This window comes from Homo sapiens, chromosome 14 (genome assembly GCF_000001405.40).
Source record: "Homo sapiens chromosome 14, GRCh38.p14 Primary Assembly".
NCBI lineage: Eukaryota > Metazoa > Chordata > Mammalia > Primates > Hominidae > Homo > Homo sapiens.
Genome location: NC_000014.9, coordinates 25,131,357 through 25,156,464, shown reverse-complemented (window position 1 = coordinate 25,156,464; position 25,108 = coordinate 25,131,357). Strand labels below are relative to the sequence as shown.

The window sequence follows — 25,108 nt, the reverse complement described above, 5'->3', positions numbered from 1 at the left end:
TTGTTTTTTCCCACCCCTCATGAGACTTATGCAGTTATGTTTATCTTCCTTGAGCACCTAGAGCTCATTGGTGGTGGAGGGTGTCTTACGGCATAGGTGGCCTCTCAGAGTCTCAGCAAGGTCACTCTTTTCCATATGTAATAATGAGCCATTGTTCTATTCATCATGACCTCATAGAGCCTTTTCTTTTTCTCAGGTCTCATTTACTTCCTCTTTTTTTTTTCCTTTTCCTTTTCCTATACCTTCCTTTGGTCCTTATAAGTATCCAAATTGCCCTGTAAGTATGAATTTTACAATAATGTCCTCAATTTGGTATATCAAGACTGATCTTAGTAGTTTCCTTGCACTAGGCACGTTCAGCTTAAAAACAAAAAGTGCAATCTATTTTCAATAGGAATAGATAATGTTGTCCAAAAGCCTGAGGATAACAGTTAAACTCATTGAAAATCACTAAAAAGCCCTTTAAAGGCTACTATTTTCTTTAATGACATTTTTTCTTAGTGTTGGATGCCCCCTACCACCAGACAATTGGTAATAGGATTGCAACTGGTATAGGGAAGGTGGAGGGACTGAGGAGAAAAGAGAAATTGAATTTATGTGTCTCCTTCTTAGCACAGCCTCAAATTTCTTTTTCAGAAAATAACTTCTGCACATGCAGCATTAGGAAGCAGTGTTTCCCAACCACTACATTTGAATGGTGAGTACCCAACCCAGAGGTCTCAGGAACCTACTAGATTCCCAACTCTGTCATGATTTTGCACCAAAGGGCACTTAACTTATTTGTGGATGTAAAATGAAGAGAAAGATGCCTGCCCATCAGAAGCCAGCACCATGCTCCAGGCATAGGGCTTCAAAAAAACAGAGAAGATTCAAAAATGAGGATTGTCATCTCAGAGAAGTTTATGAAATTATTAAAATTTGCAAAACAATTTTAATCCTATCCAGGGGTCAGGAGCTGCTCATCTTCCATCTGAGGGACTGGGCCAGGGACAGTTTTATCGAATGTGAATCTAGGCATTGCACCTCCATACATGACCATCAATGTTTACAGTTTTCTTTTCTGCATTTACTCTGGTTTCACCTTTCATATGGGACTCCTCTGATCTTCAATTCTCTCCCAACTCATGTCTTACCAGGCTGGCTCTAACATCTGATAACTGACATCATCTGGCCCTATAACTTCTCTCTCTCATGAATAGGCAGTCAAGGTCTGGCATATCCTGACTTCTGTAATCAATTGTTGTGATGAAAAAATTCATTTAAACAAACATAGAAGTGTCAGAAACATTTTTAGGAAGGCAGAACTGACCCTGGAAACAGAATAGGAAATGATGACAACATGCCAACTCGAAAATAATGTAAGTTATTCTACAAATAAAACCTAGTCAACATGAACAAATGACTCAGCTGTTTCTCCCAACAATAGCTGTAGAAAAAAATTTTTAAATGTTGAAAATATAAATATTTGGGTAATTACCCACTGCCATTACTCCACACAGTGTCTGGATTTTCAGCTTTACCTTCTCGTCAGATGAAAGATTCTTGAACTGGTATGTGAGTTCCGCATCTTCTTTTTAGAACTATTTAGACAATGCTCAACTTACAAAGAAATTGCCACTACTCCTGTGTGAAAAAAGGGCACACAGGAGAAGTAGTGGCAATTTCTTTATAAGTTTAGAGGAACTCTGCTAGTTGAGAGGAACTGCTCAAGTTTCTCTCAACTAGCAGACTTTCCTGGACTGCCTGAATCCCTGTCTGCCGTAAGAAGAGAATTTCAAAATGAACTGGTGCTCTTGGAGAGTTCCTGGGTTCAGAAGCGAGGAAAGGGAAGAAGTTTCAAGACCTATGTGTATCAATTACTAATTTTTTTTGCAATTAAATCAAAAACTCTGGTAACAAAAAACATTTGTTTCCTTAGCAAGAAATTCAACAGGAGGACTGAGAGAAAGGCCCCAATTTAGCAACCGGGAACCCAGAATCAAATAGGTTCAGCGGACTACAGTAGAATGGTCAGGGTAGAGACCATGTTGCAATGGGTTGTCTAAGAATAAGCAGTATTTTTTTAAAGTGCAGAGATAAATTTTATACTCTAGACCTTAAAAAACTTAAAAGACACACAAATGGCCAACAAGTATATGAAAAAAATGTTCAACATCACTAATCAACAGAGAAATGCAAATCAAAACCACAACGAGGTATGATCTCAGCCCCTATTATCAAAAAATAAAAACTAATGAATGCTGGCAAGGATGCAGAGAAACGGAAAACTTACATGTGTTTAGTAGGACTTATACTAGCAAAGCTACTACAAAAGACAGTACGTGGTTCCTCAGAAAACTACAAATAGGGCTACCACATAATCCAGCAATCCCACTACTGGGGCATTTATCCAAAGGAAAGAATATCAGTGTAACAAAGAGACCTCTTCACTCTCATTTTTATTACAGAACTATTCACAATAGACAAGATAGGGAATCAACCTAGGATCTAACAACAGATGGCTGGATAAAGAAGATGTGGTATATACACACAATGGAATACTATCAGCCATTAGAAAAAGAGGTTGAATTGGACTTACAGTTCCACATGGCTGGGGAGGCCTCAGAATCACCGCAGGAGGCAAAAGGCACTTCTTACATGGCGGCGCGGCAAGAGAGAATAAGGAGGAAGCAAAAGTGGAAACCCCTGATAAACCTATCAGATTTCATGAGACTTATTCACCATCACAAGAACAGCACAGGAAAGACCAGCCCCCATGATTCAGTACCTCACCCTGGGTCCCTCCCAAAACACGTGAGAATTCCGGGTGATACAATTAAAATTGAGATTTGAATGGGAACATGGCCAAACCATATCATGTATATATATGACATTTGATGGATGGAACTGGAGGACATTATGTTAAGTGAAATAAGCCAGGAACAAAAAGTTAAACACCACATGTTCTCATTCATATGTGGAAGCTAAAAAAAGTTAACATCATAGAGGTAAAAAGTAGAACAGAGGATACTAGAGGCTAAGAAGTGTAGGGGAAAAGGGATGGGAGGTAGGGAGAGATTTGTTAAAGGATACGAAATTATACCTAGATAGGAGGACTAAGTTCTAAAATTCTATAGCACTGTAGGTAACTATAGTTAATAACAATATAAAGGTTCAAATAGCTACAAGGAGGATATTGAATGCTCCTAACACAAAGAAATGATAAATATTTGAAATGATGGATATGCTAATTACTCCAATCTTATCATTACACATTGTTTGTATTGTCATATCACTACGTACCCCATAAATATGTATGATTATCTACCCATTTAAAAATTTTTTTAATTTAAAAAATAGAAGAAAAAACCTTAGCTTTGGAATTTGGCAGAGTTAAAAAACCTTAGCTTTAGAATTTAGAGTTGCAGAGACAAGAAAAATTTCCCAAAAGGTATCTATAGATATTAAAAAACATTACAGAAGATTAAAAAGGGAAAGGGTAGGTTTTATGGTAAAATAATTTAGGGATATACAGAGTAAGCAAAGGTAAGCAGATGTCTTTTCATTACTGCAGAACTTCTCAGCACCTTTAACAAGCTACTGTGAGTTCTAAATATTCAAAAGGAAGTTAACAGTATATGAATGACTCAAATTTATTTGACGAAATGATTATTTTTTCCACTGAGTACCTCCTAAAATAGTGTTTAGAAGACAGCCTATGGAAAACATGGCTTAAAGGATAGAGGATACCATTTTATAACCAGGTAGAAACAAGAAGTAAAAAAGGAGAGATTAAAGAAGCATTAAGGGATACCTGATGGGAGAAGGGCTCAGAAAGTATAAGAAGGGATGTGGCAAAAGTGAACAGGTGGAGGCTAGAAGGGTGCTTCTTCCTCAGCTGTCTGAGAGGCATAAAGAGAGAGGGAGAGAAAAAAGTGTCAGCACATCTACACAGAGCAAAGGGAGTGGAGGAAATTCACAGGGGAAGACTTCATTCTTTTCACAAAAGAAAAGGTTAGATGTGCATAAAGGACAAAGGGCAGGGTTGACTAAGGGAAAGAGAAATATAAAGCCATCAGGGCCTGGGAAGGGGCACCAGGAACAAGGAATAAGTGAAGAAAGGGAGATGGGACAATATCAATTTCAAAAATATGCTTTTATTAACTGTCAAGATTGTAATTATGCATAAGCTTTGACCTAAAATTTCATTTTAATGGCATTTACTCCATATATATATATATACACACACATATACTTGTATAAGTCTGTAGTTACAAGCCCTAGGATGTTTATTAAAACACTGGTTATATAGCAGAAAATTTTTAAAAACATCTACATGTAAATTACTTAAGGATAGTTAATAAATTAGCCCACATTCTTGTATCAGAACAGTAGATAGGCAGACAATAAGAATATACTGACTTGAAAAGATGTCCAAGATATTTTATTAAGTGAAGAAATCAATTTATAGAACAATATGTATAACATGAACCCATGTGAAATAAGACAGTGCGTGTGTGTGTGTGTGTGTGTGTGTGTGCGCGTGCGCACATGCATGCACACAAAAAAATGTCTGGTGGTTGCATGTCTAAGTACATAGTTCTAGGCTATGGTTTTGGCGGAACTCAGGCTGGAAAAAAAGGAGGAATTTTTACCTTTTACTTCATATCCTTCTGTTTGGACATTTTTACAGTAAGCACATACTGCATTTATAGTTGTTACAGTTTGTTCCTTTCTGGATCTGCACTCTTGAGACCCTCCTCCTTCTCCCCTGCAGCACGACTTTGCCTCCCAGCTCCCAAGAATCAAGGGCAGGCTGTACTCTCCTGATGTGACTCAGGCCCTCCTAGACCTCAGGGCCTCATGAAAGACAGAGTTTGCTTAGATTTACTGATAATTTCACTTTGTGACTTCACTTTGTGGCCAGTCCTTTCTGGCTCTCTGATCTTCAGACCACAAAAATGTCATCCAGCTCTAAGTTTGATCCCAATTCTACGCAGACTAGAAAGGGCATGCTGGGACAATGACAAAACATTAATTTTGGGGGCAAACAAGCTTTGTTTCCAATAAATAACATAGAATGAATTCCTGGAACATAAGTGTGTTATGTTCACCATAAATGTGTTACATAAGTGCAGCCTGATCACATAATACTAAAAAATCAGTAAAAATACCGATTTGAAATTATTTTTATAGAAACATGATTTTACCTGAACTTCCCTATTATTTTTTCTATGGACTCAAAATTCTTCTCTTATTTTTATTTTATTTATTTTCAAGGAGAAATTCATTGTCCGATATTCACTTTTCAGAAAATTCAGTCAAAATTTGCTTACAAGCCGTGCAGATGTTTCTTATAACCACTAGGGGTCAGACTACTACGTTAGTAGAAGTCAAACCCAACTTGAAACGTGGTATTAATTGGTTGAGGATCAGGCTGACATTCTCCTGCATAAGAACAGAAGACTGACCATTTAAATTAAACATTTTATAAAGGAGATAATGAGAAAGAATGCATTTGACAAGAGAGACTCAGAAAGTTGAAACTATCATATATATAATAAATATAACATAGTAAAGAAATTTCATCCTTAATAAAAATTTCAATTATTCACTTGCTCATTCTCATTGGCAAGATATTACTCCAGTCTAAGTGGGCTCAGATCAGAGGATTAATCATTGAACTGGGCAAATGTTAAGAGAGCAGAAACAACTAAAATCATGAAACTGTCAACAAAAAAGAAGAAATCCTCATTTATAAAGGATAAACCACATGACTAGCAGAGGATTGAGATGAATGGCAGAAACATTTTTCCAATGGATTTCAGCCATGGTAACAATAAATCTGAGTCATCTCACAGCAATGGGTGTATTCAGGAGTGTGGGCAGAGGGCAGCTCTGGACTGGGCCTCTGTTCCACTCCCAGCTCTGCCACAAATTGACCCTGTGGTCCTGAACACACTCCTTCTCTTCTCCTGATCTCAAAATGTCTTGAGTAAGATTACATGATTTATAAAGAATCTTCAGGCCTTAAAATTAAACAGATTTATCTAACAATATTGTTACATAAAAGGTAAGAAAGTGAGGGGAAAACTTGCCAAGATTTAAGTTTTAACAAAAATTTTACAAATGAGGGTATTCACTCTCAAGATACATTATTACAAATTGTGTTTTTTAAAAATGGAACAAACTGAGATCATAGACCATATTTACTGTCAGACAAAGTAATAAAAAGTCAAAATTTATTTACATTTTTAATGATAGTGTTTTGAAGTAAATACTCTAAGTGTATATGTAAACATATATGCGGGTTATTCCCTGGAATGATAAACAAATTAAAAAGTGGTTACCTGTTGGGGGCGGGGTAGAATTAAATGGATATGGATAGTGTGGCTATAAGAATATAAGGTTTGCTTCTTCATATATTGTTTTGATGTTTTTGTGATTGTATTATATGATGTATTACATTTTTTAAATTTTGAATATATCCATTGCCTATTCAAATTTTTTAAAAATTAATTTTAAACTTTATACATAGGACAAAAATGTGGGCCAATACAAAAATAAACACAACTGAATATGAAAATCCTCCATGATTTGAATGGGGGTTAGAAATGACACAGGGATATTCGTTACTAATATAAGTTGGCAATACAACAGTGATACTGTGTTTTAAATGGCCTGCATCAAAATACCTCAACCAAATTGGTCACATCTTAATGGTTGTATCTAAAGATTTTATTTGGTAGATTTTTCACCTGTGCCCCAAACCCTCACTGAGCTGCTTATACCTCATATGACACCAAATCAGGAGAAGGAAGAAGTTCCTCCCTCCCCCTTTTTTCTTTACATACACACATGCATGCACACACAGGCACACACTGGCTTGTGTGTCAATGAATATTAATATATGCAAATAAACAATGGAGATGGTTACAGGGAAATTGATTCTGCAAATTGCTAACCTAACTCACAGCCTTCTCAATATACAGGTCAAATGTAATTTCTATCAAAATTCCAGCAAGAGAATTTGTAGATGTAGACAAGATTATGGTAAAATGTATATGGAAAGGCAAAGGAACTAGAATAGCTACAACCATTTTGATAAAGAATAAAGCAAGAAGAATTACTCTACTTGATTTCAAATTATATAGCTACAGTAATCAAGGCTACATGGTGATAAAATAGACACATACATTGATGGAGCAGAATGGAGAACCCAAAATAGACCCATACAAATATGTGCAGTTACTTTTTCACAAAGGTGCAAAAACAATTCAATGGAGGAACGATAACTTTTCAACAATGGTGCTGAAACAATTGGACATCCGTAAGCCAAAAAGATGAACGTGGCCCTAAGCTTCAACATCAAATTAAAATTAACTCAAAAAGTATTAGCCTGAGCAACATGGTGAAACCTCATCTCTAAAGAAAAGTACAAAAGATTAGCCAGGCATTATGGCATGTGCCTGTGGTACCAGCTACTCAGGAGGCTGAGGTGGGAGGATGGCTTGAGTGTAGGAAGTCAAGGCTGCACCCCAGCCTGGATGACAGGGCAAGGCCCTGTCCCCCCCACCCAAAAAAAAAGGATTAAAGATTTAAGTGAAATTTTAAAACTATAAAACTTTTAGAAAAAAGTAATAAGAGAAACTCTTCAGAATCTAAGACTAAAGAATTTTTAGATTTGACACCAAAATCATGCCATAAAAGAAAAGATTGATAAATTGAATTTCATCAAAATTTCATACTTTTTACAAAAAATTAGCCGGGCATGGTGGTGGATGCCTATAGTCCCAACTACTCTGGAGGCTGAGGCAGGAGAATGGTGTGAACCCAGGAGGCAGAGCTTGCAGTGAGCCGAGGTCACGCCACTGCACTCCAACCTGGGCGACAGAGTGAGACTCCATCTCAAAAAAAAAAAAAAAAAAAAAAAATTCACACTTTTGCTCTGTAAAAGGTTCTGTTGAAAGGATGAAGAGACAAGCTTCAGATTAAGAGAAAATATTTGCAAAAATGTATCTGGCAAAGGACTAGTATCTATAATACATAAACTATTCTAAAAACTTAACAAGGAAAAACCCAATTAGAAAATGAGCAAAAGACATAAACAGACATACTAGTGAAGAGGATATACAGGTGGCAAATAAGTACATTATAAGACATTTCACATCATTAACTGGCAGGGAAATGTAAATTAAAACTACAATGAGATATCATTACACACCTATTAGAATGGCTAAAATAAAAAATTGTGACAACACCAAATACAGACAAAAATGTGTAGAAACTGGATCACTCATACATTGCTGGTGGGAATATAAAATGCTACAGACACTCTGGAGATTATTTTGGCAGCTTCCTATAAAACTAAATATGCAACTGTCATCCAACCCAAGAACAGAATGGAGAACCCAAAATAGACCAGCTTTTAGTTGCGGGGGGCGGGAAGGGGGTGGTAAAAAACTTCCATCCATAAAAAAACCTATACATGGATGTTTTTAGCTACTTTATTTGTAATAGCCTAAAACTGCGTACAGCCCTGATGTCCTTCCATGAGTGAACAGTTATACAAAATCTGGTATATCCATACATGCAATACTGCTCAGCAAGTAAAAGGAGTGAACTATTGATACACACAACAACTAGAATGAATGTCCGGAGAATTATGGTGAGCCCAAAAAGCCAATCCCAAAAGGTTAGGTACTGTATGAGCCCATTTATATAACATTCTTGAAATGACAAAATAATAGAAATGGAGAACAGGTTGGTGATTTCCCGAGGCTAAGAATGAGGTTGGGAATGGGTGAGAAAGAAGGAAGAATACTATAAAAGAATGCTACAAGAATCTTTGTGATGAAAATTCTCTTCATCTTGACTGTATCAATGTCAATATCTTAGTTGTAATACTGTACTAAAGTTCTGTAAGATATTAGCATTGGAGGAAAGTAAGTAAGGGTATATGGGATTTCTCTATATTATTTCTTAGAACTGTGGGTAAATCTACAGTCATCTCAAAATGATTGTTTGGTTTTATATATATATATATATACTTATATATATGTGTGTGTAATTTTAATTTTATACCTATATAAATATGTTTATTTTACATAAAATACTTCTAGAAGAATAATATAAACTATGACCTCGAGTTGTTACGGAAATGAGGATTATAGTAGCTATGCATATTTTTTCCTTGCTGGATGTGCATGTGTGTGTATGTACAAATTATTATCTACCAATTCCAAAGCTACTCTTCTCTCTGCCTTATGTTTCTGGAACTGAGACTTCACAAACCACACTTCTATTTTCCCAACTTAGGCTTTCCCTCTTAAGCTCCACCAACATAGGGAAACTAAAAGACAGAAGGAGAATAAAGGAACTTCCCCCTTCTCATTTGCTTCCTGTGGACTTCTCTGTTCCATGTCCCTCTGGGCATCACACAATAATAGGTCTTCTTCATCTGAGAGTATCAAGGCCTTCCAGTAGCAGCAGCTGAATCCAATGTGCATGTTTTCCAATCCTTGCAAAACCAGTCACATTGAATGGGTGTCAGCAAGCTTTTGCTATAAAGGACCACATAGAAAATATTTCAAGTTTTGCAGTCCATTCATTCGTATAGCAACTACTCAACTCTGCTGTTGTAGCAACAGGTGTAGATAATATTTAAATGAATATGCATGGCAAGTATAACTTTATTTTTGGACACTGGAATTTTAATCTTATATGAATTTCATGTGTCACAAAATATTATTATCATTATAAGTGGAATTGTGCTCTCAAAAAGATATGTTTTACTTCTAACCTCCTATATCTGTGATTGTGACCTTATTTGGAAATGAGGTCTCTGCAGATAATCAAATTAAGTTGAAGTCATTAGGGTGGCCCTAATCCAATATGACTGGTATCCTTTTTACTTTTTTTTTTAGAAATGAGGTCTTGCTATGTTACCCAGGCCAGTCTTGAATTCCTGGGCTCAAGTGATCCTTCTTCCTCCGCCTCCTAAAGTGCTGCAATTACAGGCATGAGCCTTCATACACAACCAAATGGTGCCCTTATGAGAGAAAAATGTCATGCAAAGACATGGACACAGAGAGGAGTCCGTTCTGTGAGTGGAAGCCAAGATTGGAGCAATGCAGCCACAAGCCAAGGACTGATTGCCACCTCCAGAAACTAGAAAAAGTCAAAGAAGGATTCTATCTAGAATCTCCAGGAAATCATCACCTTGTTGCTAACTCTATTTTGGATTTCTAGTTCCCAGAACTGTAAGAGAGTAAATTTCTGTTGTTTTAAGTCATGTAATTTGTGGTACTTTGTTACAGGTGGGCCTAGGAAACTAACACCCTTATTCTTTTATTTTTTAATCAATGTTTTAAAAATATAAAAACCATTCTTAACTCCCAGGTTATACAAAAAAACAGGTAGTAGGCTGGGCAGGCCTATAGGCACCTGACCCCACCTCAAAACATCAACATGTGCCAAGCAATGCCCATACAGTCTGAGTTTTAGACCTACACTACTAAATTTTAAGAATTTCAATCTCTTCCCCTTTTCCTCCACCCTGAGGGAAAGGTAGATGCTTCTGTAATTGCTACTTATATTACACTTTGCTATTCTCTCTTTCCTTTTCAGTTACCTAGCTAATAATTGTATAACTAGTTAACAATTATTTATGTTAAATTTTCTCTTGTTAAAATAACTTTTTTTCCTGGCTGGATCCTGACTAATACAATTTTCTTTTTAAAAGATTATTCAAGATTTTATATGAAGTACATTGACCTTTAAGGCTTTTGGAACGCCATGGTAATTATTAAGTTTGATTTTAGGTAATTAAGTTTGATTTTAGGTAATTGAGACAACTCTTTGCAGAGGTGAAATTCCTGACACAAAAATTGCATACTTTATTTGTCACAAACTTTAATTAATAATCATTCTTGCTTTAATAGATTCATTCCTCTGAGGACCCTCAAGTACTTCAGAAGAACTAAAAAATGAATATCACGTTACACCAAAGAAGAAATGAAAGCTGCCAGTGTCTTCTGAAGTTAAACAGGCTCCTGTTCTTTGACCCAGCAATCCAATCCTAGGTACTTACCCAAGAGAAACAAAAACATGTATTTACAAAAAGACTTGTATAAAATGTTCAAAGCAGCCTTATTCATAATAGCCAAAATCTGAAACAACCCAAACGTCCATCAATAGGATAATGAATAAGCAAACTGAAATATAACCATATAATGAAATAGCACTCCATCAATAAAAAGGAATGAACTTCTGATACACAGAACAATGTGAATAAATTTTAGGGACATTATGTTGAATAAAAGAAAAGATACAAAAGAACTTATGTAATTTTGTTTATATGAAGTCCAAGAACAGGTAAAAAGTAATCTATGATGAGGGAAAGCAGAAGAATGATTGACTTAGGGCACAAGAAGAATGTTGACTGGAAAGGGGCAGGAGGGAAGTTTTGGGGTGATAGAAATATATCCCAGTTGAGATAAGGATGAAAGAGCCTCATATATTTGTCAAAGCTCATCGATATGCACTTGTTTTTTTTCGTTGTTGTTGTTGTTGTTGTTTAGATGAAGTCTCACTCTGTCACTCAGGCTGGAGTGCAATGGCACAATCACTGCTCACTGCAGCCTCAACCTCCAGGGTTCAAGTGATCCTCTCACCTCAGCCTTCCCAGTAGCTGGGACCACAGATGCGCACCACCAAACCCAGCTAATTCTTTTATTGTTTGTGGAGATGGGATCTGCCTATGTTGCATAGGCTAGTCTCGAACACCTGGGCTCAAGCAAACCTCCCACCTCAGCCTCCCAAAGTGCTGGGATTACAGGTATCCGCCACTGCGTCCAGCCAATCTGCATTCTTAATAGGTGCATTCCACTTTATGTAAATTTTACTTTAAAATCTTAAGAATAAGTAAAAGAAAAAAAAAAGGCATAGGTGAATCTCTAATTTTCAGATCTGAAATTCATAGATAACCTTTGGAATTATAGACTCTAAGCCTGTAGAAGGCAAGCACTAACACTATCTTGTTTATTTTATATATAATTTAACATGCTGTAACATATCTATTGATCCAATAGGTATTAATATTAGAAGCATGAGCATTTTTCAAACATATAAAGTAGGTATCACTTCCAAATAAAATCTGCATAAGTAATTCAAGTTTGGCCTTCCCTTTCATCCTTCCTCTGTTACAGTATAAAAGATTCTGAGATTTTTTTTTTCTGAGAAATTTCTTTTCTCACCACATTTTGATTCCCAGCAAGCATCACCAATATACAGTAACTCATTGAAGGAAAGTATTCTTCCTTTGGGAAAAGACTAAAATTAAACACTTTTCATCTACCTAAAAATCATTACAATGGCGTCAAAATGTGAATAATTTAATCTGCTCATAAAATATTGCCTACCACTGACGTGCTTGGCCTTATGTTCAGATTGACCCAATTTAAGAATTTCTAGACACAGGCTGGGTGCGGTGGCTGACGCCTGTAATCCCAGCACTTTGGGAGGCCGAGGTGGGTGGATCACGAGGTCAGGAGATGGAAACCATCCTGGCTAACACGGTGAAACCCCGTCTCTACTAAAAAATACAAAAAATTAGCCAGGCGTGGTGGCGGGCGCCTGCAGTCCCAGCTACTCGGGAGGCTGAGGCAGGAGAATGGCGTGAACCCAGGAGGCGGAGCTTGCAGTGAGCTGAGATCCCGCCACTGCACTCCAGACTGGGCGACAGAGCAAGATTCCGTCGCAAAAAAAAAAAAAAAAAAGAATTTCTAGACACAAAAAGTCGATTTCAAGTTGAAAAGTGGTCACAACACTCACCTTTTCAAGTCTAGTCCACGGACATTAATTGTAATTTTTTTCCAGCGTACAAGCCATTTTGGCATAACATTTGCCTTGTGTCATGAATGGCTAAGTGCTCCTTGTCTTTTTTTTAACCTTACTTTTAATTAAACAAATAATATATTGTTGGGGGCTGGGCATGATGGCTCACACCTGTAGTCCCAGTACTTTGGGAAGCCAAGACAGGCAGATAGCTCGAAGGCAGGAGTTCAAGACCAATCTGACCAACATGGTGAAACTCCATCTCTACAAAACAAATAAACAAACAAAAAAACCCAAATAACAAAATAACATATTGTTGGGTGTGTGTGCATGTAACTTAGAGAATAAATTTTAAACAACCAAAGTGCTCATGAATAAGAGAATTGATGAAATAATTATGGAAACATGCAGCTTTTTTCCTTCTTAATGAGATACCTTTAAATGTGGTGGCATGAAAATTTTTCCTGGATATATTAAGTTGCTAAAAAGGAAGTCACAGAACGATAGGCATAGTATGATCATATTATGTTCAAAAATCTATAACTGCGTAGAACAAAATGTATATAAATCCTATCAAAGGAACAAAGAAAACATTTAGAAGGATCCATCTACACTGTTAAAGTGGTTAACGAGAAAGAAATGTTAAAAAGAAGGTGTACACAAAAGGATTTGCACTTGAATTTTATAATCAGCACATAAATCCAGTTTCTGGAACAATGCTTGACACAAAGTAGATAACAAATAGTTGTTGAATGAATTAATAGATTACTTAAGGAATCAATGGCTTCTATAACTTTAAAACAAAGCAATTATATGAAAAAAACACAAATAAATAAAACAAATAGAAACCACTTAAAATCTGCCACCCAAAGAACTGTTGTTTACATTTTGGCATATACATGTAGACCAATATTTTTATTTTTAATTTTCAAAATTGTATATATTTATGGTGTGCAACATGATGTTTCGATATATGCACACATTGTAGAATGGCTAAATCAAGCTAATTAACAGATCTATCTCCTTACACACTTTTCTTTTGTATATGTGATGAGAAATCTAAAATCTACTCTAGGTAATTTTCAGCAATTTTAATAAGTACACAACATATTATTATCTATATTCATCATGTTGTACAATAGATCCCCTGAACTTATTCCTCCTACCTAAATGAAATTTTGAATTCTTTGTATCCAATATTTTTCTTTTTAATATACAATATTAAAACACCAGGCCAGGCATGTAGCACAAGCCTATAATCTTAGTACTTTGAGAGGCAAAGACAGGTGCATCTCTTGAGGTCAGGAGTTCGAGACCAGTCTGGCCAACATAGTGAAACCCCATTCCTACAAAAAATACAAAAATTAGCCAGGCATGGTAGCACACACTTGTAGTCCCAGCTACTCAGTAGGCTGAGGTGGGAGGATCACTTGAGCCCAGGAGGTGGAGGTTACAGTAAGCTGTGATCATGCCACTGCACTTCAGACTAGGCAACAGAGTGAGACCTGTCTCAAAAAACAAAACAAAACAAAAAAAAAGATAAAACAATGCACAATATTTTGTAAATTGTCTCTTTCCCCAATCAAAAATATACCAGGGTATCTTTCTTTTCTTTTTCTTTTTTTTTTTTTTTTTTTTTTTGAGATGGAGTCTCACTCTGTTGCCCAGACTGGAGTGCAGTGACACAATCTCGGCTCACTGCAACCCCCGCCTCCCGGGTTCAAGCAATTCTCCTGCCTCAGCTTCCAAAGTAGCTGGGATTACAGGCATGTGCCACCACACCCAGCTAATTTTTGTATTTTTAGTAGAGACAGAGTTTCACAATGTTGGCCAGGCTGGTCTTGAACTCCTGACCTCCAGTGATCTGCCTTCCTCGGCCTCCCAAAGTACTGGGATTACAGGCGTGAGCCACTGTGCCCAGCCACCAGGATATCTTTCTATGCCAATAAATACCTTCCTCAATAATTTTTAATGTCTGCATTTATTTTAGCATTATTTTTTTATTCTAACAAAACTACTCTGCTTAATTTAAATGCCAATAATGTTCATTCATTCAGTCAGTCAGTCAGTAGGTGAATCAATAAATAGTTTTAAAGACCATGCAATATTTCAGGCAGGTACTCAGGCAAGCATGGGAATACAATAGTTATTGAGGAGAAAAAAGGCACCTGTCTTCACAACAACTTGAGTCTATGAGGTGAGATATACATTATATGAATAAATAGAAAGATAAATACATAGTTTTAAAATATAATAAGAAACTTTTTAAAAAAATTTGGAGACAGGGTCTCGCTGTGTCACTCAGGCTAAAGTGCAATGGCAAGATCAAAGCTTACTACAGCCTCTATCTCCTGGGCTCAAGTGATCCTCCTACATTAGCCTCCCAAGTAGCTGGGACTACAAGTGTGCACCATTATGCCTGGCTAATTTAAAAAAATTTTTTTTAGTAGATATGAGGTCTCTCTATGTTGCCTATGCTAGTCTTGAACTCCTGAGCTCAAGCCATCCTCTTGCTTCAGCCTCCTAAAGTGCTGGGATTACAAGTGTGAGCCACAGCACCTAGCCAAGAAACTTTTTTAGAAGATGCTATTCATAATAGAAAAAAATACGTTTAGAAGATGTAATTCAATAATTTCCCTTTGTGAGTGTCCAATTTAAGCTGAACTTGCAGGATGGATTGAATTTGGCCAGGCAAAGAGAGAAGAGAGCACTGCAGACAGTGAGAACAGAATCAGAGAAGAGCACAGCACTGTGGAATAGAGAGAAAGCAGAACTGAAGAAACTTCTGGAGGAAGGGGGTGGCACTAGACTAGGTTGCAGGGTAGAACTTTGGATTTTATTATAAGTGCAAAGGGGAGCCACCAAAGAGGGATTTTGTTTTTGTTTTTGTCCCCTCCCCATCCCATGTATAAATGTACAAGGTTTTTCTTTCTTGAGTTCACTGACCACTGAGAACAGAATGGATTGCAGGAGCAAGAATGAAAATACACCGATGATGAATAAAATGAGGGTTTCCAGGCTTGGGAAAGTGTGAAGGAGTAAGAACAGCTGTCCATGAATAGCAAGTGTTGCAGAATGACTTGGCAAAGAAAGATGATGGGGAGGGAGTTGGAAAGTGTCTTTCTGTAACAATTCGATGCACACAATATTTTACATATAATCTCAGGGTCTTTGTAGAACCCCTGGGTAGAAGACCATAGCTTTAAGACAGGTCACCATCCTCATCAAGAGAAAAGTGGGACTTGAGATGGGTTTAATAATTCTCTTGCCCTTACTGCCCTACTTGCCTTCCTTCCTTTCCCTTGAGAATGCACCAAGACCTCAGGAGCCAAGGTAAGGTTAATCTTAAAATATTAAAACTAATTTACATTGTCAGTGTACCGTCATACTTGTTTAAAAAAAGGAGACTGCCCAGAAGGAGTGTGCTGGGAGCAGAAAGAAACCAACTTAGTGCTATACTCTTACCACAAATCATTTAAAATGAACATTTACGAACTGGCTGGTAGGCGATGAAATACCTTCCCAAATTTCTCTGCTTGTCTTTTCCTGTCTGGTCATTTACTGTGGCACTTCTACATTGCTAAAAATAGGTTCTCAAATATGCCAAGAATAAGTGAGTCCACTTTCCTCAATCTCCAAGGGATAGGAGGCTGACATTAAACTGAAAGTAATCATTCTGAATAGCGAGATGTTTTATTGTTTGGGGCTTGTTGGTATGGATTCTTCACCAGTGTTTTTTTGTTGTTATTTTTCTTGTTGTTGTTTTTAATATACTTTAAGTTCTGGGATACATGTGCAGAACGTGCAGGTTTGTTACATAGGTATACATGTGCCATGGTGGTTTGCTGCACTCATCAACCCGTCATCTACATTAGGTATTTCTCCTAATGCTATCCCTCCCCTTGCCCCCATCCCCCAGCAGGCCCAGTGTGTGATGTTTCCCTCCCTGTGTCCATGTGTTCTCATTGTTCAACTCCCACTTATGAGTGAGAACATGCAGTGTTTGGTTTCCTGTTCCTGTATTAGTTTGCTGAAAATGATGGTTTCCAGCTTCATCCATGTCCCTGCAAAGGACATGAACTCATCCTTTATTATGGCTGCATAGTATTCCATGGTGTATATGTGCCACATTTTCTTAATCCAGTCTATCATTGATGGACATTTGGGTTGGTTCCAAGTTTTTGCTATTGTGAATAGTGCCACAATATACATACATGTGCATGTGTCTTTATAGGAGAATGATTTATAATTTTGGGGGTATATACCCAGTAATGGGATTGCTGGGTCAAATGGTATTTCTGGTTCTAGATCCTTGAGGAATCGCCACACTGTCTTCCACAATGGTTGAACTAATTTTCACTCCCACCAACAGCGTAAAAGCATTCCTATTTCTCCACATCCTCTCCAGCATCTGTTGTTTCCTGACTTTTTAATGATCACCATTCTAACTGGCGTGAGGTGGTATCTCATTGTGGTTTTGATTTGCATTTCTCTAGTGACCAGTGATGATGAGCTTTTTCTCATGTTTATTGGCCACATAAATGTCTTCTTTTGAAAACTGCCTGTTCATATCCTTCATCCACTTTCTGATGGATTTTTTTTTCTTGTAAACTTGTTTAAGTTCCTTGTAGATTCTGGATATTAGCCCTTTGTCAAATGGATAGATTGCAAAAACTTTCTCCCACTCTATAGGTTGCCTGTTCACACTGATGACAGTTTCTTTTTCTGTGCAGAAGCTCTTTAGTTTAATTAGATCCCATTTGTCTATTTTGGCTTTTGTTGCCATTGCTTTTGGTATTTTAGTCATGACGTCTTTGCCCATGCCTATGTCCTGAATGGTATTGCCTAGGTTTTCTTCTAGGGTGTTTATGGTGTTAGGTCTTATGTTTAAGTCTTTAATCCATCTTGAGTTAATTTTTGTATAATGTGTAAGGAAGGGGTCCAATTTCAGTTTTCTGCATATGGCTAGCCAGTTTTCCCAACACCATTTATTAAATAGAGAATTCTTTCCCCATTGCTTGTTTTTGTCAAGTTCGTCAAAGATCAGATAGTTGTAGATGTATGGCATTATTTCTGAGGCCTCTGTTCTGTTCCATTGGTCTATATATCTGTTTGCGTAACAGTACCATGCTGTTTTGGTTACTGTAGCCTGGTAGTATAGTTTGAAGTCAGGTAGCATAACGCCTCCAGCTTTGTTCTTTTGGCTTAGGATTGTCTTGGCTATACAGGCTCTTTTTTGGTTCCATATAAAATTTAAAGTAGTTTTTTCTAGTTTTCTGAAGAAAGTCAGTGGTAGATTGATGTGGATAGCATTGAATCTATAAATTACTTTGGGCAGTATGGCCATTTTCACGATATTGATTCTTCCTATCTATAAGCAGGGAATGTTTTCCTATGTGTTTGTGTCCTCTCTTTCATCTTTTCATGTAGTCCCATATTCCTTGGGGGCTTTGTTCTTTCCTTTTCATTCTTTTTTCCCTAATCTTGCCCTCATGCTTTATTTCATTAAGTTGATCTTCAATCTCTGATATCCTTTCTTCTGCTTGATCAATTCGGCTATTGATACTTGTGTATGCTTCACAAAGTTCTCGTGCTGTGTTTTTCAGCTCCATCAGGTCATTTATGTTCTTCTCTAAACTGGTTATTCTAGTTAGCAATTCCTCTAACCTTTTGTCAAGGTTCTTAGCTTCCTTGCATTGGGTTAGAACATGCTCCTTTAGCTTGGAGGAGTTTGTTATTACCCACCTTCTGAAGCCAACTTCTGTCAATTTGTCATACTCATTCTCCATCCAGTCTTGTTCCCTTGCTGGTGAGGAGTTGTGACCCTTTGGAGAAGAGGCATTGTGGATTTTGGAATTTTCAGCCTTTTTGTGCTGGTTTTTCCTCATCTTCATGGATTTATCTACCTTTGGTCTTTGCTGTTGGTGACCTTCAGATGGAAATTTTGCGTGGTCATCCTTTTTGTTGATGTTGATGCTATTGATTTCTGTTTGTTAGTTTTCCTTCTAACAGTCAGGCCCCTCTTCTGCAGGTCTTCTGGAGTTCGCTGGGGGTTCACTCCAGACCCTGTTTGCCTGGGTATCACCAGCAGAGGTTACAGAACACCAAAGATTGCTACGTGCTCTTTCCTCTGGAAGCTTCTTCCCAGAAAGGCACCCGCCAGATGCCAGCCAGAGCTCTCCTGTATGAGGTGTCTGTCGATTCCTGCTGGGAGGTGTCTCCCATCAGGAGGCACGGGGTTCAGGGACCCCACTTGAAGAGACAGCCTGTCCCTTAGCGGAGCTCAAGCACTGTCTGTGAGATCCTCTGCTCTCTTCAGTTCTGGCAGGCAGGAATGTTTAAGTCTGCTGAAGCTGCACCCACAGCCACCCCTTCCCCCAAGTGCTCTGTCCCCAGGGAGATGGGAGTTTTATCTATAAGCCCCTGACTGGGGCTGCTGCCTTTCTTTCAGAGATGTCCTGCCCAGAGAGGTGGAATCTAGAGTGGCAGTCTGGCTACAGCGGCTTTGTGGTGCTGTGGTGTGCTCCGCCCTGTCCAAATTTCCAGGCGGCTTTGTTTAAACTGTGAGGGGAATACTGCCTACTCAAACCTCAGCAATGGCGGGGGCCCCTCCCCCCACCAAGCTCCAGCATCCCAGGTCAACTCTAGACTGCTGTGCTGGCAGCAAGAATTTCAAGCCAGTGGATCTTAGCTTGCTGGACTCTGTGTGGGTGTGATCCACTGAGCAAGACCACTTGGCTCCCTGGCTTCAGTTCCCTTTCCAGGGGAGTGAATGGTTCTGTCTTGCTGGCATTCCACGCATCACTGGGATATGAAAAAAAACTCCTGCAGCTAGATTAGTGTCTGCCCAAAAGGCAGCCCAGTTTGTGCTTGAAACCCAGGTCCCTGGTGGCACAGGCACCCGAGGAAACCTACTGGTGTGTGGGTTACGAAGACTGTGGGAAAAGCATAGTATCTGGGCCAGAATGCACTGTTCCTCATGGCACAGTCCCTCATGGCTTTCCTTGGCTAGGGGAAGGAGTTCCCTGACCCCTTGCACTTCCCGGGTGAGGCAACACCCCACCCTGCTTCTGCTTGCCCTTCGTGGGCTGCACCCAGTGTCAATCTAGTCCCAGTGAGATGAACCTGGTACCTCAGTTGGAAATGCAGAAATCACCCTCCTTCTTCATCAGTCTCACTGGGAGCTGCAGACCGGAGCTGTTCCTATTTGGCCATCTTGCCTGGGAATCCCTGATTCAACCCAGTGTTTTTAACTAAAAGCAAAAATGTAGTCATTTCTCTGCCCCGATAAGGTACTGCACCATATGTTTTCATAGTGTTCTGTAAATATCAAGAACATGACATGTCCTTTGCCTTTAGGTATAAGGGAAATACCAACATAGTTTCCAGTCTGTAACTTTCTGCTGGGAGGGCTAAAGGAAAGAGTCATACCATAAATCTAAAGGTCTCTTCACTGAAGTTTCCATAGCGCCTCTCTAACTTGTCCATGCCATAGGGTCCTCCCCTCCTCTGAACTCATTCAGTGGTCATAGGCTCCTCATATTAGGTATCTTTTGTAATATATGTCTTGCCTTCACAAGACCCTGGAGGCATTATCTCTTACCTTTATCTGTGCTTCCCATGAAGTTGGTACAGTGCTTGCTCCCTATAAGCACTCAGCTAATGCCGATTCATACAGCATAAAAGTTTCTAAAACTTGGTAGGGGATAGAGTCTTTTTTTTTTAAAAAAAAAAAAAAGGGGGGGGGATCCAGAATAACAAGATGTTCTAGACTTTAGAACAGTTCATATGGCTATTAGGTCATCCTCCGAGATTCACATTCTTGTGAATGTGGTACAATCTTGAATGTTTTTAAGGAATCCTCTGGCTCTGGGTTTGTCTAGGCAATAGAAAATGAAGACTCTAACCCCAAGGAGGGCAAAGCTCCTGGGAAGTAACGTGAACACCTCATCTCACCACCTCTGCCTTGGGAGTCAACACAAATTTATCTTTAAGAAAAAGCAGACATCCTAAAGAACTCCAGGGCCAATGGAGGACCCTGGCCTTCCTCGGAAGCTGACACAGAAGGCTAAACCTTGCTCACTCTCAATCTAATTTCCCTAAGCTCATTTTTAACCGGTCAGGTCACCACAACCCAAATAGCCAGCATTCCCACAAGAATAGGTCCAGGTCAGGATAGCTGTATTTATTGTATTAATAGTATGATACCCACAATAAAGGAAATGAGAAGCCCATCCTCCCATCATGAACTCAGCCCTGCACTGACCAAACCCAACGGAGCAGTCAAGGAGCCACAATTTAAGACAATGACATATTAAACTGAGGCAAGAGGTGAGAGACTAAAACTGCATTTTGAGGAATCATTAAAAGAAGCTGAGGGTGTTTGACCAAGAAAAGAGAAGGCCTGGTAGCTGCATTGTAGAATTTGAAGGAAGAAAGTATATGAAAGATGTTGACCATTCCAAAGCCAGACAGATGGCAGAATTAGAAGCAGTGAGTGAAACATATACAGGGCAGATGTCTTAGTCTAGGTTCCTTAGAAAACAGACTCTAAGGCAAAGCTTAGGCATTACTGCTTTCTCTGGGGGCAAAAGGTAAAAAAAAAAAAAAAAGACATGCATGGCAAGGAAGGAGGGAGAGCAAGAAAAAAATAGTATGTTATCAGGCTGTACACAGCTTCCCAAGAAACACCGCTGGTCACACGTCTCTGCAGAAGCAGGGCAGGCACTGCACTATGCAGCAGTCAGCAGGAAGAAGAGGAGCTAGTCATTTATTTCCCGGATACTTCCTGACTCTTCACTCTCCACATGGCACAAATATCCCTACACTTCTTTTTGTTTTGTTTTGTTTTGAGACAGAGTCTCACTCTGTCACCCAGGCTGGAGTGCAGTGGTATGATCTCAGCTCACTGCAACCTCCGCCTCCTGGGCTCAAGGGATTCTCCTGTCTCAGCCTCCCCAGTAGCTGGGACTCCAGGTATGTGCCACCATGCCCAGCTAATTTTTGAATTTTTAGTAAAGATAGGGTTTCACCATGCTGGCCAGGCTGGTCTCAAACTCCCTATCTCAAGCGATCCGCCCTCCTCAGCCTCCCAAAGTGAAATACCCCTAAACTTCTTAGTAACCTTCTCCTACCCCTTCAAGGGGCACTGAGAGAACCAGAGCCTCAGTGGTGCAGCAGGATCTGATCTGGCCCAAGCCCTGGAGTTGCCACAGCTCCTACCACAGAAAATGTGACCAAGGCTGTGCCAAAGCCCAGCCGTCACACCCAGGAAAGTCAGAAACTACTGAGTGTAAGGAGATGAGGTGGCCACAATGGCAGTGGCGGCCAAAGCTTTATAACTGCAGGAATGGCCAGAAGCTGGGCTAACAGCCGAGGCTGTGGGGATGGGTTCATAGACCACACCAGAACATTAGGTTTTAGTAAGATGTCAGTTTGAAACCATTTAACATTTGAAACCATCTAACGATAGAATTAGCCAGTGCTTTTCAAACATTACGTATATATGAGTACCCAGTACCCAGGAATCCTGTCAAGGGAAGATTCAGATTCAGCAAGTCTGGGATAGGGACTCAGATCGAGCATTTCCTACTAACTCTCCAGGGATGCCCCGTTGCTACCCCCAGGCTACACTCTGAATATTAGGTGAATGTTCTGCTTCACAAAGTGGTGAGTTTTACATCCCTAGGTGTGTTTTAGCAGATCCTGAATTGATTGATCTTCTGTCACAAAAAGTCAGGTATTTTGCAGAAAAGGTCTCCTGCCTGGGAATAAAAGGTTGAACTAAATGACCACTGTAGAACTTTCCAAATCTAAGATTTTTATTTATTTACCAAAACCTGATGAGCACTAAACCAATAATGAATGATACATTAGTTTAAAAAGAAGAAATGCCTAGCTTTAATCTTATTCATTGCTCACTTTTCAATGACTCCTTATCAAATCCAAAGTACAATTAGCCAAGATCCTGATTGAAATTTAGAGCTTTACCTAATGACGACTGACCAGAAATGGATGTAATTCAGTCAGTAACTAATATGAGTGATGTTTTTCTCATCATCTCCCTTTCAAAATCCTTCCTCAACCACAAGAAACTCAAGGAGTAAATGCAGAGATGTTAAAAGGTATAGACAGGACATCTAGGATTATAGGATTATTAGAGACTGTCTCCTCCAGACTCTTATCAAGCCTGAGTTAAGTGTAACGTGAAAATTCAATCCTTTCACTTCATTCCCTGATGAATGAAAACCAAAAGAAAATCTCAATCCAGACGCTTAGGAATGTGAGTTTCTAGACAGCTGAGTTTTCTAGCAAGATAAAAGCTAACGCTTTAGAACTAGATATATTTTTCCTTTTTGTCTAATGATTTTATTCTAATTATCACTTAGAACTGCCGTACAAATTTGAATTCGCCACTTCTCTTCACTTTTCAATTAATTTATCAAGTTTTCATATTCCCTATTATCAAGAGGCACGGTATCGGCTTCTTTAAGCCTTCTCCATGTACACACTGGGCTTTGTCCCTGGATGCTGAAGCCCTCACACTCCAGGAAGAGAGAGCTGCTTAGTTTTCAAGGCTGGGCTGGGAGAACCCGCATATAATTCTACGGAGTTATAACTGTCACTGCTCCTCTCTGCCACACGGTGGCACTGTTGAAGACTGGCTCTACCCAGTCATGCGTGTCCGCTGCTGCAGAGCCTCTGCCCGCCTAGACCCAGGTAGAAATTTCCGTGGCTCCCAGAGGAAGGACGGCCCCATCTCCCAGGGCTGAGCTCAGCCACGTGGTTGCAGCTCTTCCTTCCTTGCACTCTCGTGCCGCATACGCCAGCTTCCCCAAATGCTGCCCACCCCCGAGGGATGCCGTTCAGGACTCTTCCAACATTCACCACTTCTCAGATCCAGAATCCTTTTCTCTCTTCCCTCCCTCAGAATGGGGTGTATAGTTGGATTTTAAACCTTCAAAACACAAAAGTTCTTATTACAGCCCTCTTTCCTGTACAACCTACACCAACCTCTCTCAGGAAAGCTATCCTCAGTGACTCCTAGGTGCCCTTACCCAGCCCCAGCCTCCTATTCACTTTCCTGACTTCTTAGACAAGATACACTGAACACAATTTAACTTTTTGTTAACAAAAAGCTTTAACAAAAAAGTCTCACAGCCATCATTATGAACATCATAGTTTGGTTTGGTTTGGCCGTGGGATTTTTTTTAAGGTAAGCATACACGTGTCTTTTGTATTAGAAAAATTATAGATTGGAGACATGATTTGACAATCCTATTGCAGAACTAATATTTTGGGGAGATCCTTGATTTCTAACCCATCTCTGGCTGGGAAGCACATGCTCTTTGCAGTTCACCATGTGGCCTCCCCACCTCCCTGCCTCACTGCCTCTCTACCCAGGACTCTCTGACATATGCCATCACTTCTTCAGTCTTACTCACTTCTTTTTTACATACATATCTTTATGCTTCAGCTAAATTTAACTATGACCATTTCTCCAAAAACAAGCTATAGTTTCCCATCTCTGTGCCTTTGCTCATGTTGTTCCTATTTTCCTAAATTGCCCCTTATTTTATCCCTGCCTTTTGAAAGCTTAACAACCCTTTGAGGTCCACCCACACACTAAATCCTCCTCCAGGTTTTTTATAATCCCTCCCGCTGAATGTGATCTCTTCCTCCTTTGTACTTCCACAGCAAATTATGCATTATCTCTTTTAAGATAATTTCATTCCTACATTGCCAACATTTGAGATGTTGACTTCAGTGAACATAGAATTTTAATTTTTTTTCTACAGCATTGAGAATAGCATCTTATACTTAGTAAGCATTTAGTAAATACATACTGGATGGAATTTCATTGCCAAACGCATACTTGAACCTTTAGTAAAATTCTTCTGCTAATCTAAGCTTGGTCCCTTTTAGCGTACTCTAATCGCATGAGGATTAAATTCAAAAGAGAAAATATAAAATAGGAAAAAAAGGAGGATACTGAAGTTTTGTATAGGTTGCAAAAGTCCCAAATGGTTCTGAGAGCTAGGAATTTCTACTTATACGTTCAGTGACCTCACGGCATAGAAGAAAATCATCCATGTTTGCAGCTGAGAAAGATAAATGGGGAATTGGGGGATGTAAAAATGGGGGTGTCATTTCATAGAGCTGATCACTCTCTCTTCTCTTGGTTCCCATGATGACACTCTTGCTTTGCTTTCCTGACATCCAACTGATCCCAGTTCCCTCTCCTCAATCTCTTGATGCTGGAGTACCCCAGAACTTAGTTCCACCTCTTCTA

General features: G+C 39.1%; 1 long non-coding RNA gene across 1 annotated transcript in view, besides 3 other annotated features; it reads left to right on the top strand.

Moving 5' to 3' along the window:
- The first annotated feature begins 201 nt into the window (after nt 1–201).
- The window catches only part of LINC02286 (long intergenic non-protein coding RNA 2286), a 31,778-nt gene continuing 6,871 nt past the window's right edge, over nt 202–25,108 (top strand). Inside the window, exons 1-3 of the long non-coding RNA NR_184204.1 lie at nt 202–277; nt 637–697; nt 10,923–11,063. This is a non-coding gene — a long non-coding RNA (long intergenic non-protein coding RNA 2286). The remainder of the gene's footprint in view (nt 278–636; nt 698–10,922; nt 11,064–25,108) is intronic.
- Nucleotides 12,357–12,519: a silencer, noted in NCBI's record as "fragment chr14:25613152-25613314 (GRCh37/hg19 assembly coordinates)". NCBI's record gives its function as "represses an EF-1alpha promoter that drives an FKBP-Casp9 reporter gene in an ReSE screen in phorbol 12-myristate 13-acetate-treated (for megakaryocytic differentiation) K562 erythroleukemia cells {active_cell/tissue: K562(+PMA)}" and the evidence as "EXISTENCE:reporter gene assay evidence [ECO:0000049][PMID:32094911]".
- Nucleotides 23,308–23,602: a silencer, noted in NCBI's record as "tiled region #7379; K562 Repressive non-DNase unmatched - State 12:CtcfO". NCBI's record gives its function as "represses a minimal TATA promoter and a strong SV40 promoter by Sharpr-MPRA in K562 cells {active_cell/tissue: K562}" and the evidence as "EXISTENCE:reporter gene assay evidence [ECO:0000049][PMID:27701403]".
- Nucleotides 23,357–23,406: a silencer, noted in NCBI's record as "silent region_5645". NCBI's record gives its function as "represses an Ori minimal core promoter by ATAC-STARR-seq in GM12878 lymphoblastoid cells {active_cell/tissue: GM12878}" and the evidence as "EXISTENCE:reporter gene assay evidence [ECO:0000049][PMID:35858748]".